Genomic DNA, 13064 nt, shown 5'->3' with positions numbered 1-13064 from the left:
CCAAAAGATGTTAGCTGCAGTTTTATTTATATTAGCCAAAAGTTGAAATTAATTGAAATGTCTAAGTATAGCGGAATGGTTAAATAACTAATGGCATATCTTCTTAGTAGATTATTATGCAGTGATTTAAAAGGATGTTGATACAGTTTGGCTGTGTCCCCACCCAAATCTCATCTTGGATTGTAGTTCCCATAATCCCCACTTGTCGTGGGAGGGACTCGGTGGGTGGTAATTAAATCATAAAGGTGGTTACCCCCATGCTGCTGTTCTCCAGATACTGAGTGAGTTCTCACAAGGTCTAATGATTTTATAAGGGGCTTTTCCCTCTTTGCTCGGCACTTCTCCTTCTTGCCTCCATATGAAGAAGGATGTGTTTGCCTCCCCTTCCACCATGATTGTAAGTTTCCTGAAGCCTCCCCAGCCATGCTGAATTGTGAGTCAATTAAACCTCTTTCCTTTATAAAGTACCTAGTCTTGAATATGTCTTTATTAGCAGCTTGAGAATGGACTAATATAGAAGTGAAGGAAGTTTATGAAAAAATATAGAAATGTTTGTGATAAGAAGAATACAAAATTGTAGAGTAGCATTTTTCCAAGCATGTTTTTTGGAACACTACTCCCATGTCAAATATATTTGGAAATACTTGGTATCACACGCCCCTCTCAAGACTTCATGATGCTCATCAGCACTGAAGGTTCTGAGAAGTGTTGTGGCTTAACCTATTGCTTCTTGAACTTGTTTCACTCTGGAGTCCTTTATCCAACCAACATCTATTACTATCTTTGAACATTGGTGTTCTGCGGGAGAATGTTTTGGGAAATGATGACACATAGAATGGTTATAATTAGGTTAAAATTCCACTAGAATATAGAGAAATAGCTGGAAGAAAAATATAACAAAATTCAAGTAGAGACCATGGGTAGCAATGACGTAAAAAGATTATTTAATAAATCTTTCTTTTTTCATGCATCTGCCAGAAATTATTTGATATGCATAGATTATTTTATTAAATAATTTTATAAAGGTCTTGGTCTAAATAAGTTTGTATTTTTATTCAGTTTATAACATATAAGTTTCAGAATTTGCGCTTTCTGCCTAATGGATAAAATATCCATATAACCCAGTAGGATATTTGATAAGAGTCTGATGGCCTGTTAATACTATGTAATAAATAATAGTATTTATTCTACCATGATGACAATTTCAGAGTGTGAATTTGGACTTGGGAACAGCCTACTTCATGACAACCAAAAAGAAAGAGTCTTTTAAGAACTAGTAAACAACTAATAGTTAAAGGTGTGCCAGGCACTATACAGATCACTTTATACACATTAACTTATTTAATCCTCTCAGCAACTGCATGAGGTAGGTAGGTAGTATGATCACTGTCATTTTACAGATGAGTAAACTTAGCCACAGGGAGGTTAGGTGACATGCTCAGTTCCAAGTCCTCCATCTCTAGAGACCAGATTCTGATGAGTACCCAGTGCTGCCTCCTACTTAGGGAGCCAGTGATTCCACCACATCAGCAGGCAGGATTTCACAGCTGCTGATTTAACCTAGATCCCAAACCATTCTTGCCTGTGAGAGTGACAGAGCCCTTTCCTCTGGGGTTGGTAAGCTGGAACCACACAGGCCCCTCATGTCCTCTGGCCATATCCTCTAGTAGGTGAGAAGGTAAAGAGGGTGCAGACTAGAGGAGGAGGGGGTATGAGTCCCACTTCTGGCCTCCAAGGGCCCAAGAGGTAGCCTTGCTTCTCTAGCTGTTTCTGTGGACTCTGGTGAGGAATCCTGTGTATTTCTTCCAGAACATCTTCTTTTTTCTTTTTTTTTAAATGTTTCTTTATACACCTTTTAGTTTTAAATTTTTCTTTAAGAGGTTGTTATAAGAGGCCATTGTAGGGTGTCTTTCACAATGATGTTTTTGGACCAGATTATACTTTAGATGGGCTGTGATGCTTACCTGGTAATATCAAGTAAGTTTAGAAACCTGCTTATACACTTGAGGTACCCAGAGGCAGAGGATGAGCTAAAGGGCCACTCAAGGTCACTTCCATCCTCTGTACTCTGGGATGTTTTGGATATCAGGTGTCGGAAGAATGTGGCTAGCCAAATTACCATCTAGAAATGGGCTACTCCTGGGTGTGAGAGACAGAGGCAGGAAGGCTAAGGAAACAGGAGCAAAGAAGCTGCTCTTCATAGGTTTTATTTTATTTTGTTTTTTCTTTTTTAAAATTAGTATATATTTATGGGGTACAACTGTAACTTTGCTACATTGATATTGTGTTAGTCTGTTCTTGTGCTGCTATAAAGAAATACCTGAGGCTGGGTAATTTACACAGAAAAGAGGTTTATTTGGCTCACAGTTCTGCAGGCTGTACAGGAAGCAGGGCACCAGCATCTGCTTGACTTCCAGGGAAGCCTCAGGATGCTTTTACTCATGGCAGAAGGTGAAGGGGGAGTGGACGTGTCACATGGTGAGTCAGGGAGCAAGAGAGAGGGGAGGGAGGTCCGAGCCTCTCTTAAACAACCGGCACCCCTGTGAACTCATTAATCATCCATTACCACTCATTACCATGGGGAGGACACCAAGCCATTCATGGGGAATCTGCCCCCGAGAACCAAACACCTCCCACTAGGCCCACCTCCTGCTGAGCCCACTCTTCTTCAATGCAACATTGGAGGTCACATTTCACATGAGATTTGGAGGGGACACACATCCAAACCATAACACGTATGTTGCATTGTGGTAAAGTCAGGGCCTTCAGTGCCTCCATCACTGGAGCAACGCACATTGTACCCACCAAGCAATCTCCCATCATCCACCATCATAGGTTTTAAAGCCAAGGATTACAAAGAGATAAATCTGGGTTTGGCATGTCCATTCCTTGCTCTTTTATCCTCAAGTGACTTGGAGAGGACCAGTTGGCACCATTCTTGGAGGTCAAGACAGCCTACCATTGGCTTGAAGCCTACAGTTAAATCAATTCATCCTCTCTCCTAGACTTTCCCACTCTGGACTAATTAATTCTGGGCCCTGCAGTTGTTTCATAGGCCCTCCTCTCCAACTCTTTGTATCACTTCTCCATTCACATTTCCAAGTTAGCTGTTTGGCTCCAAAGAGGGTGCAGTGCCGAGTTGGGGTCAACTCTCGAATCTCATGGGATGGTTCCTTGCTGGGTCTCTGTTGTGTTGCTTGCCCATAGTTTCTCATTCTACCCTCATGCTGACTGTTTTCAAAAGACACAACACATAGCAGGCACAGTCCCACCACACTGCAAAGCATTCGGCTCTTCCTGCTCCTTCATGTTTACCTTGTGATTCACTCTGCCTTTGTGGGTCTCTTCCTGTTAGATTTTATTCTTTCATGCTTTTCTACTTTTTTATTCTTATCCATTTACTTAATGGTATCATATCTCCCTTCCTCATGGGTTAAAACTTTATACTGATTGTATCACTAAATTTCATTTGGTCTATTTTGGACCAAGAGCCCAGTTTGCCGAATTGATCTTCTAATTAAAATTTATTCCCTATTTACAGTTTCTGGGTCATTGGTGAGACTGGATTTCATAGAAGAGTCTTTGCTACAGCAAAACCTCTCTTCAAGCAATACACTATTCAAGCTGCTGGAGGCTAGATTGACCAGAAAAATGGGGCCAATATCATGGTAAAGGATCTTCAACAGTAGCCTTCAGCTCCTCAGGGTCCAGCGTGCTTGAAAAATGATAAATATTTTAATTCCTCCTTTCACCCCCTAGAGGAGGGAGAGAGGGTTGTGAACAAACGGCCCTTGAGTGATGTAATTCCCATGTAGGAGAACTCTCTTGGCTTTGTGACTGATGTGGGGGCCTGGGCTGGGCACTGCTTATTATTATCATCTAATTTTTTAAGTGACATTGTTGAGGAAAGAATCTGAAGACCCATGGTTGTCGCTTGGCCACTGAAAAATAAATCACATTTTGATAATTCCTTAATTTCTTAGTGAATTTCCTTTACCCAAATATATAATGTATGTAAGACAGTATCCTGTACAATTGTACAGAGACACTGGGAGGACAAAATAGTATAGCATTTGAATTATTATAATACAAATTAATACTAATTATTATTAATACTAATACTAATACTAATAGGTAGCAGGAGCCAGTAGTCATGAGTGCTAACTTTGTGTTAGGCACCTAGTGTTATGTTTTGAGTGTTCTGTACCGCAGAGCACCTAGAGTGATCATTTCTGTTAAATAATGTGAGTTACCAGGCATTCCATCCTCTGTTCTCTCTTTGCTTTCCCTTAGTAAGTACCATGGACTCTCTTTTAGCTATTTCTTTTTTTTAGTCCTCTTCTCCCACACAAGTTGAGCTCTCATTGCTGCCCACGGTTGCCATGGTTTCCTGCCTTCCTGGCCTAGGCCTCTTCCTTGTCTAACCCACCTGCCACGTGCCCCAGGCTGACCAGTGGATGACACCACTTCCACGAAGGCCTCCCTGTCATTTGAGATTATTCCATGTCTCTCCATGACCTGGTCTGGCACTCAGCGCTCTTCATGTTCTGATTCCAGGTTACCTTTCCAGCCCATCTCCTGTGCCTCTGCTGGGAGATCTTGCTGTAGCCGGGTTGGTTCCCTCAAGGCCGTGCCCAGAGTGTTCCCTCTTCCAGGCCTGTGCTCACCCTCCCTGCAGCTTCTGCTCCACGGAGTCACCTCCATAAATTCTCCCCATGCACAGAGTCCAGCCCAAGCTCTTGCTCCTATTCCAAGTCTTCCCTGAGCACTTTTGCAATCTCCTCTTCCATGAGTGCTCACACTCTCAGGAGCTCCATTTGTCATTTTTGGTATTGTTTTGTGTTGTCATTTAATTCCTCCTTTTCTTAAACATTTGAGTGTCTATATTCCTCCTTCGACTAGATTGTAAATTCCTAGATGACAGGGGTCATGGGATGTCTATCCATCTATAGCTATCTATCAATCTTTAATCTATCATCTGTCTGTCTATCATCTATCACCTATCTATCTATATCTATTATCTATCTATTTATCCATCTATCTACCTACTGTCTAGTCCATAGGTATTTAGTAACTCTTTGATTAAAGAAAGAGTATCATTTTCAGTTTCCTTCTCAGATTCAAAAACCATAAATGTTTTTCATGGAGTGGGAGGCAAAGAGGTAGACTGAGGCACACAGAGGCGAGAGAGAATCAACTGGTCTTGAACAGAGTCCTGAACAGAATCCTTAATAAGACCCAGGGTTTGGACCTCAATCTAAGATTTTCTGGGGCTTTGCTTAACTAATCCAGAGTCCAGGATCCCCAGATAGTTGTGAGAAATAACCACTAGCAGGGTAGCTGGAGCATGCTGCAGAGAAATTGTGTAGTACTCATTACTGTTAGGAACAATAATAGCAATTATGATAATAATGATGATGATGATGATGATGATGATGATGCTGATGCTGATGATTAAGCAGCAGCTCTGGCTGAGCCTGTCTCTAGGGTGGCAAATCCTCCAATGTGTAAGTAGGAATCTGTTTCCTTTTTTCATTGGAGTAAGGTCTCTGGCTGGCAATGCAGCCCGTGACCCCAGCCTCCCTAGGCCACAGGGGCTGGGAGGGATGGCTCAGGAAGGCTGGCGGACAGGCGTCTGGCTGGCAGAGGGGAGGGAAGTCATTCCCAGTCCCATTGGTCTTGACTGAAAACAAAGTGAGGGTCCCTGAGTTCTCCTATAAACGGTAATGATAACACAATTATCATGCAAAACAAAAATTAAGCTTAATGGTGCAAAGCCAGGGTGTACCAGGGAGGTAATTCATATTAATTATGTTTGGATTAAAAGCTTATTTCTTTTGTTAGCATCTGCAAGTAGAAACTTAGCTGTTAAAAAAAAATCCGCATATAATTACAGCCTCTTATGGAGGAGCAGTGTTGAACTTAATGGAGCATCTCTGCACTCTTCAAGCTGCTGGAGAATGGTAATATTTCACATTTTATGAAACACAGAAGAAATAAATTACAGGTTTAATGATAAGAACTACTTGGGCTCATAATGAAATCTGATTGGCCAGTTAATCCACCAAGACCCTCAAATGTGAACCATCCAAAAAGGGTAAAAATGATGAAAAATGAAATTAAATGGAAAAACCCTCACCCGCAGCCTCTTTTGTGAAGGCTGGGGAAGTGCCAGAGCAGGAGAGAAGCCCTCGAGGGGTGAGGAGGAAAATCAGTCTCCCCAGGTTTGAGGAGAGCAGAGCTGCTGGAAGAATTTCCCTGCCGTGGTCTCCAGGTTTCCTGTAGAGATGAAGCCAAGGAGAGTTCTGGCGGTGGGAGGACAGGGAGGGAGCCTGGGAGGAAGAAAGAAAGAGAGGGAGGGAGGGAAAGAAGAAGGAAAGAGGCGGGGAAGAAAGAAGGGAATGATTTCTTCTGGTGAGAAAGTTTCAGAACTTCCAGCAGGGGCAGGAGCATTGTCTTCAGTGGGAAAGACAAAGACAGAATGAAGGCTAATGACTTGGGCTGAGTTTGTAACATTTTTTTCACAAACAAGAAAATATTTTGCTAGGAGGGGAAGGTGAAGGTCTTTTCTTGTCCTAAGCTCAGGATGCACTGAATCCCCTTGAGAACCTGGAGTGTGATGTCCAAAGGCAGGAGGAGAAAAAGACATCCTGCTCTGAGACACAGAGAGGAAGCAAGAGGGAGCTGAGTATCCCCTCTCTTTCACCTGTGATCTACCAGCTGGGACCCACAGCCTATGGGATGCTGCCCCCCACACTGAGGGCAGGTCTTTGTCTCTCAGTCCACTGACTCGCCCACCAATCTCCTCCCAAACACCCTCATAGAGGTGCCTGGAAACGATGCCTCACCGGCCATCTAGGCATCCCTCAATTCAGTTAAGCCAGCACCTCATATTAACCATCATGGAGGCCCTGTGGACTTCTGGAAACTCTTGCAGATCCCTGTTCCTCAGGCCTTGCCTGGCACTGCTCTTGTCCTAGTTCTCCTTGGAATGACATCCTTTGTCTCTCCTGGATTGGTGGTCGCATGGAAAATGTCTAAGCTTATGGAATCTTGGGTATCACTGGGTCCTGCCTCCTCACAGCATAAATCGGGAAGGAGGTGTAACCCATGAACACTGCCCAGTGCAGGGGCCTGCCCCTTGTAGCTACTCAATAGATGATATCGGTCCTTTTTTTCTTAAGAAACTTGCCCAAGGTCCCATAATGCTCAGGCTAGAAATACCAACACCCCTCAGTTTTTGACCACCTCATGTGCCAAATAATATGCTGCCACTGTTTGTGTACACTGCTGCATTTTTTTCTTTTTCTTTTTTTGAGATGGAGTCTCACTCTGTCACCCAGGCTGGAGTGCAGTGTTGGATCTCAGCTCGCTGCAACCTCCGCCTCCCAGGTTCTAGTGATTCTCCTGCCTCAGCCTCCTGAGTAGCTGGAATTACAGGCTTGCACCACCATGCCCAACTAATTTTTGCATTTTTAGTAGAGATAGGGTTTCACCATGTTGGCCAGGCTGGTCTTGAACTCCTGACCTCAGGTAATCCACCTGCTTCGGCCTCCCAAAGTGGTAGGATTACAGGCATGAGCCACCGCGCCTGGCCACTGCTGCAGTTGATTCTCACCAGCACCTCTAAAGCAGGGTCTTTTTTCCACTTTCTGATGAGAAGATGAAGGCTCATGATGTTAATTGATCTGACCAGATAACTAACTAGAAGCCTCCTGACTCCCAGTGTGGAATTCTTCCCACTCCACCACACTGGCTCCAGGACTGGGGACAACAGTTTTCTATTATTTTTCAATGTAAATAATTTACCAACTGGCAAACATCTATTGACCAAAAGGCCTTTGATGCCTTCTATAGATGGACATTTGACCTCATCTCCTAGGACTTTCCCCGTTGTTTATTAAACTACAATTACACTAACCACAGTATCTCTCGAACATACTTAGCGCTTCCAGCCCAGGGTCTTTGCACTTGGAGTTACCTCTGCCTGACACACTCTTCTTTCTAGGTCTTCAGGTGGCTGCACCTAGCAACTCCTCAGTCACTCTCTGTCTCAATGTTCTGCTTTCTGTTTTTTTTTTTTTTTTTTTTTTTTTTTTTTGTAGGAGTCTTGCTCTGTTGCCCAGGCTGGAGTACAGTGGCATGATCTTGGCTCCCTGCAACCTCTGCCTCCCGGGTTCAAACAGTTCTCCTGTCTCAGCCTTCCGGGTAGCTGGGATTACAGGCACCCATCACCATGCCGGGCTAATTATTTTTGTAATTTTAGTAAAGACAGGGTTTTGCCATGTTGGCCAGGCTGGCTTTTGAACTCCTGACCTCAAGTGATCCACCAGCCTCAGCCTCCCAAAGAGCTGGGATTACAGGCATGAGCTACCGCACCTAGCCAATGCTCTGCTTTCTTTTCTTTCCTTTAAAAAAAAAATAACAAAAAACAAAACAAACACACACACACACACACACACACACACACAGACTTTACTTTTAGAGATGAAGTCTTGCTGTATTGCTTAGGCTGGCCTTGAACTCCTGGGTTCAATTGATCCTCCTGCCTCAGCCTCCTAAGTAGCTGGGATTACAGGCATGAGACACCACTCACACCTGGCCTGCTTTATTTTCTGTGTAGTGCTCATTGCTCTCTGAGATTCCCTTATTTGTTTAAGAATGATAAACTCTAGGAAGGCAAGGGCTGTATCTTGTTGACTGCCACACTTGTAAGGTTGAGAGGAGGGCCTGGCACTACGTAGACTCAGTAGATCTTTGCAGAGTGAATGAATAAACAAACCAGTAAAAGAAATCGGACTTCAACTCCAGCACCCTTTCAGTTGTGCTGCCCTGGTGCTCCTCTTGTGTTCGTTTCTCTTCTTGCAGATGTGAAGCCCTCTGTGCATATGGGTGCTCACACCTTTGCACAGAGGGAGGGAAGTAGTACGTGGAATAACAGCAGCTATTCCCACTCTGCCCTTCTTTCTTGCATGCTGACTGGTAGAAAAAAGGCCTGGGGAAAACAGTCTTGAGCAACAACAAGAAGCAATGATCTCCCTGCCTGTGACAAATGTGGTGCTGTTTAGTTATGGTTCGGGGCTGAGAGGCCCCAGTGGGTGCCTGAAAGCTGAGCTTGGGCTGAGAAGGGAAGAGAGAAAGGGTCTCTGACTGATGGCAGGGTTGGCAGGTGGCACACCCAACTTTTCCCTCTCCTGTTCTCCCCTGCTGTGGCCCTAGTAGCCCATCTTGCTGTGGTTTCATGGCAGCCCAGCTGAGGACACTGACAGGGTCATGGTTTCTCCTTGCAGATTCCTCAGCAGTGCCTGGAGAAGACCAGGAGAGGAAGCAGAAGACCCTCCTCAAAGAAGCAGCCTTCACCTCCAGACCTCCCAGCGGGACTTAGACAATGGGGTTAGGCAGTCACATGTCTGCACGTGGAAACTTTCTGGGACTGTGCTTGGATCCTGGCTCTGCCTTTTACTAGCCATGTGACCTTGGGAAAATCACTTGACTTCTCCGTGCAGGATTCCTCATCTGTAAAAATGGTCTAAGATTAGGAGCCACCTCAAGGTTGTTGTAGGAATTAAATTAATTCATGTTTATAAAGTGCTTTGAACAGCGTTTGGCACATGGTAAGTGCTATGTGGTAAGTGCTGTCTATTGATTACATAAATAAAAGTGATCACCATTAGACTTTCCATGCAGATGATATTATGCATATACATATCTCCCGCATATGACGTCATTGGATCGTTTTGCAATGGTGGGGGGTTTATTCTTTTCCTTTTTGTTTTCTTCTTTTTTTTGTCAGATGAAGAAACTGATGGGAAGTGAATTGGTTTGTATTAAACATTAGGTTTGCTAGGTCTCTCACATATTTATTTAGTCCTCATAACAATTGTATAAAATAAATATTATTTATTCATTTATTTATTTGTAAAGATGGGTCTCGCTATGTTGCCCAGGCTGGTCTTGAACTCCCGGGCTCAAGTGATCCTCCTGCCTTGGACTTCCAAAATATTGGGATTAAAGGTATGCGCTACTGCACCCGGCCTAAAAGAAATACTATTATCCCCATTTTACAGATTTGTAAACAGAAGCTGACACTTCAGAGTTCCATCCTAATGAAAGTAGGATGTGACAGGGGAGCAAATCTGCTTTGCCCCTGCCCAAGGGCTGGCAGCTCCTCCTCCTGGGGTGCATGGTGAGTGGGTACACCACTCATCTGTATGTACCCGGCAGAAGCTGTCAATTCAGTTCACGTCACTCAAGTTGAATGGATGTAAAACACACACAGAAGCACCAAGTAATTGCATTGTTTTCAAATTACTCACCTCTAGGAGAATTAAATGAGCAAACGGAAGAGCAGCAACCCTGAGTTACATTTCTCAAGACACCGGGGCTCTTGATGGCACAGCAGCAGCTTGCTAGAGCTTGGTAAAGAGACTTGGGCCTGGTACCTGAAGGGCAATTCCTTGGCCATGACATTGTAGGGAAAGACCTCTATGGGTGTTGAAAAGACAAGGCGAGGACAAGAAGAGTTGAAAAGGAGCTGTTCTGAAGCCACCTGGCTGTGGATGGAGGAAGCCACATGTAGCTTAGGTAGCCTGCTATTGTAATTTTTTCTGCAACTGAAGAATTCGAAATGGGTTTGGTGGGTAGCGAAGGGCAGAATCTGGCTTCAAGGTGACAGAGTTTGCATAGAGATGGCCTTCTTGAGCAAAGGTAGTGACTCCTACATTTTTTTTTTTTGTAGAGTTGTGATACCCATGAGTTAGTCAGCTTGGGCTATCATAACAAAATACCACACATTGGTTGGCTTAAACAACAGAAATTCATTTTCCTGTAATTCTGGAGGCTGGAAGTCCAAGATCAAGGTGACGACAGAGTTGGGTTTCCTCTGAAGCCTCTCTCCTTGGTTTTCAGATGGGTGTCCTCTTGCTGTCTCTTCATGTGACTGTCCCTCTGCATGTGTGCCCCTGGGGACTCTTTCTTATCTTATAGTGACACTAGTTCTATTGGATTGAAGTGTACCCATACGACCTCATTTAAACTTAATTACATATTGTAAGGCCCTAACTTCAAATACAGTCACATCCTGAGGTACTGTGTATTAGGGCTTCAACATATAAATTTTGGGGCAATCCAGTTCAGCCCATAAAATCCCTTTTTGGTTGCTTGATTCTGTTTATTTGGTGTCATGCCTTCCTTTTCCTAAAGAACTTCATGAATAGAATTACTTTCTAAGTGAAAGGAACAAAACTGATTTTTATTAAAAATTATTTTGAGATGCTTGTGACAAATTTTGAAGTAAGTGAAGATTTTCCTGGAGCTTCTACAAAATCCTGGCTGAGAATCCCTGCTTTCTGGACAGTTGAGAAGGAAATACACTTAGTACAGCTGTTAGAGAGATATAGTTGCAACCACTGAGTGCTTATTATCTGCCAACTTAAATATATTGCCCAAGGGAATAACAAATATTCTAGTGTTCTTGTTAAGTATATTGTCTAAGGTCACACAGCTCTTAAACAACAGCTTCAGGATTTGAACCTGGAATCTATCTGACTCCTAAGTCCAGATGCTGTTCACCACATTAGGTTGAAGCATGGCCAGTGTTCATAACATACAACTATGTCTCCATATCTTTTGCTAACCAATGTTCTTGTATGTGCATACCTTACAGGGCAGCCATTCACCACAAGCCCTACTAGATGGCTTCCTGTAATAAGGGTAGAACAGTAGTACTCTCCTTTTGAGAAGTTATTTGTAATTTTGTTGGTGGGCTGACATTTAGGCCCTGCTCTCCAGCCCCAGAGGGGATCCCATAACCTAGATCAGGCCAATGATGATTATCTCCGTGACTGTAGTGGCTGGTCCAGCGGGGAGGGTCAGGCAGGTAAGCTGGCCCAACCTGAGTCCTTCTTGAGGATTTTAGAAACTGAAGGTAGGAGAGAAAAATTCTCTCTTTTCTTCTGGGGAACGGGATGAAGGTGGTGGGTAGGCAGAGCTGTTGGGATGTGGATCCAGGGATTCTGGAAGTCCTGTCCTCCACCATGTAAAGAATACATCCTGCAGAAGGAGAGAAGGGAGCCAGCACACAGAGAAGCAGAGTCAGGAGATGGAGAAGGAGAATCCTGAGAGCCTGAAGGTCCCTGGGTCCAGCCATTGTCAAGGCCGAGTTCTACCGTCCTTAAGTTGTTTACCTTTCTTTCTTGCTTGCTTCTGTTAGAAGATGAACACTCAATGAAAAATCACCAAACATCTGAGGAAAGCCATCAAAATGAAATAAACGAAACACACAAGTTCCTAAACACAAGTGAACAGCGTGGGCTGGGTTTTTGTCGCTTGGAACTGGAAACGCTGACGATAATGCTGACCTCTGAGCAGACCCACGTGAGGGGCAGCTGTGGTGTGGTGTGATGATGCTGGGATAGGCACTCAGATGGTTGAGTCTGAGTTTGGCTCTGATATTATATCAACTGCATGGGCAGCTGTGGTGTGGTGTGATGATGCTGGGATAGGCACTCAGATGGTTGAGTCTGAGTTTGGCTCTGATATTATATCAACTGCATGGGCAGCTGTGGTGTGGTGTGATGATGCTGGGATAGGCACTCAGATGGTTGAGTCTGAGTTTGGCTCTGATATTATATCAACTGCATGGGCAGCTGTGGTGTGGTGTGATGATGCTGGGATAGGCACTCAGATGGTTGAGTCTGAGTTTGGCTCTGATATTATATCAACCGCATCATTTTGGGGAAGACACAATTTCTCAGAATTTTATTTAGTTGTAAAATAAAGATAATGATATTACATGCTCTGTCTACCATCTAGAGTTTTTGTCAAGACAAACTGAAGTAAACCGTGTTAGAGAAAAATGTTACAAAATTTTAAGCGTGAAGTGAGTAAACAGTGACTCTGTCCTGAGACTACAGCGGAAAGCTGCCTCACAGGCCACATGTGAAAATCTTCTGCCAGAGAACATGAACACTCAATGAAAAATTGCCAAACATCTGAGGAAACCCATTAAAATGAAATAAACAAGACAAGTTCTTATAATCAAGGAAACATAGATAATAGAGCCA

At 43.7% G+C, this 13064-nt stretch overlaps 1 long non-coding RNA gene across 8 annotated transcripts in view; it reads left to right on the top strand.

The window, feature by feature from the left end:
- The window catches only part of LINC01605 (long intergenic non-protein coding RNA 1605), a 196324-nt gene extending 183530 nt beyond the window's left edge, over positions 1 to 12794 (top strand). For 3 of the 8 annotated variants that reach the window (NR_170186.1, NR_170192.1, NR_121620.2), the window contains one exon: positions 9291 to 9680. This is a non-coding gene — a long non-coding RNA (long intergenic non-protein coding RNA 1605). Of the gene's footprint in view, positions 1 to 3541; positions 3669 to 5896; positions 5964 to 9290; positions 9681 to 10322 lie in introns of those variants that run through there. The other 5 variants (NR_170194.1, NR_170190.1, NR_170193.1 and 2 more) reach the window with 4 other exon arrangements.
- Positions 12795 to 13064: the final 270 nt, after the last annotated feature.

The sequence above is a fragment of the Homo sapiens genome, chromosome 8 (assembly GCF_000001405.40).
Source record: "Homo sapiens chromosome 8, GRCh38.p14 Primary Assembly".
Taxonomy (NCBI): Eukaryota; Metazoa; Chordata; class Mammalia; order Primates; family Hominidae; genus Homo; species Homo sapiens.
This window is presented reverse-complemented; position numbering and strand designations above follow the sequence as displayed.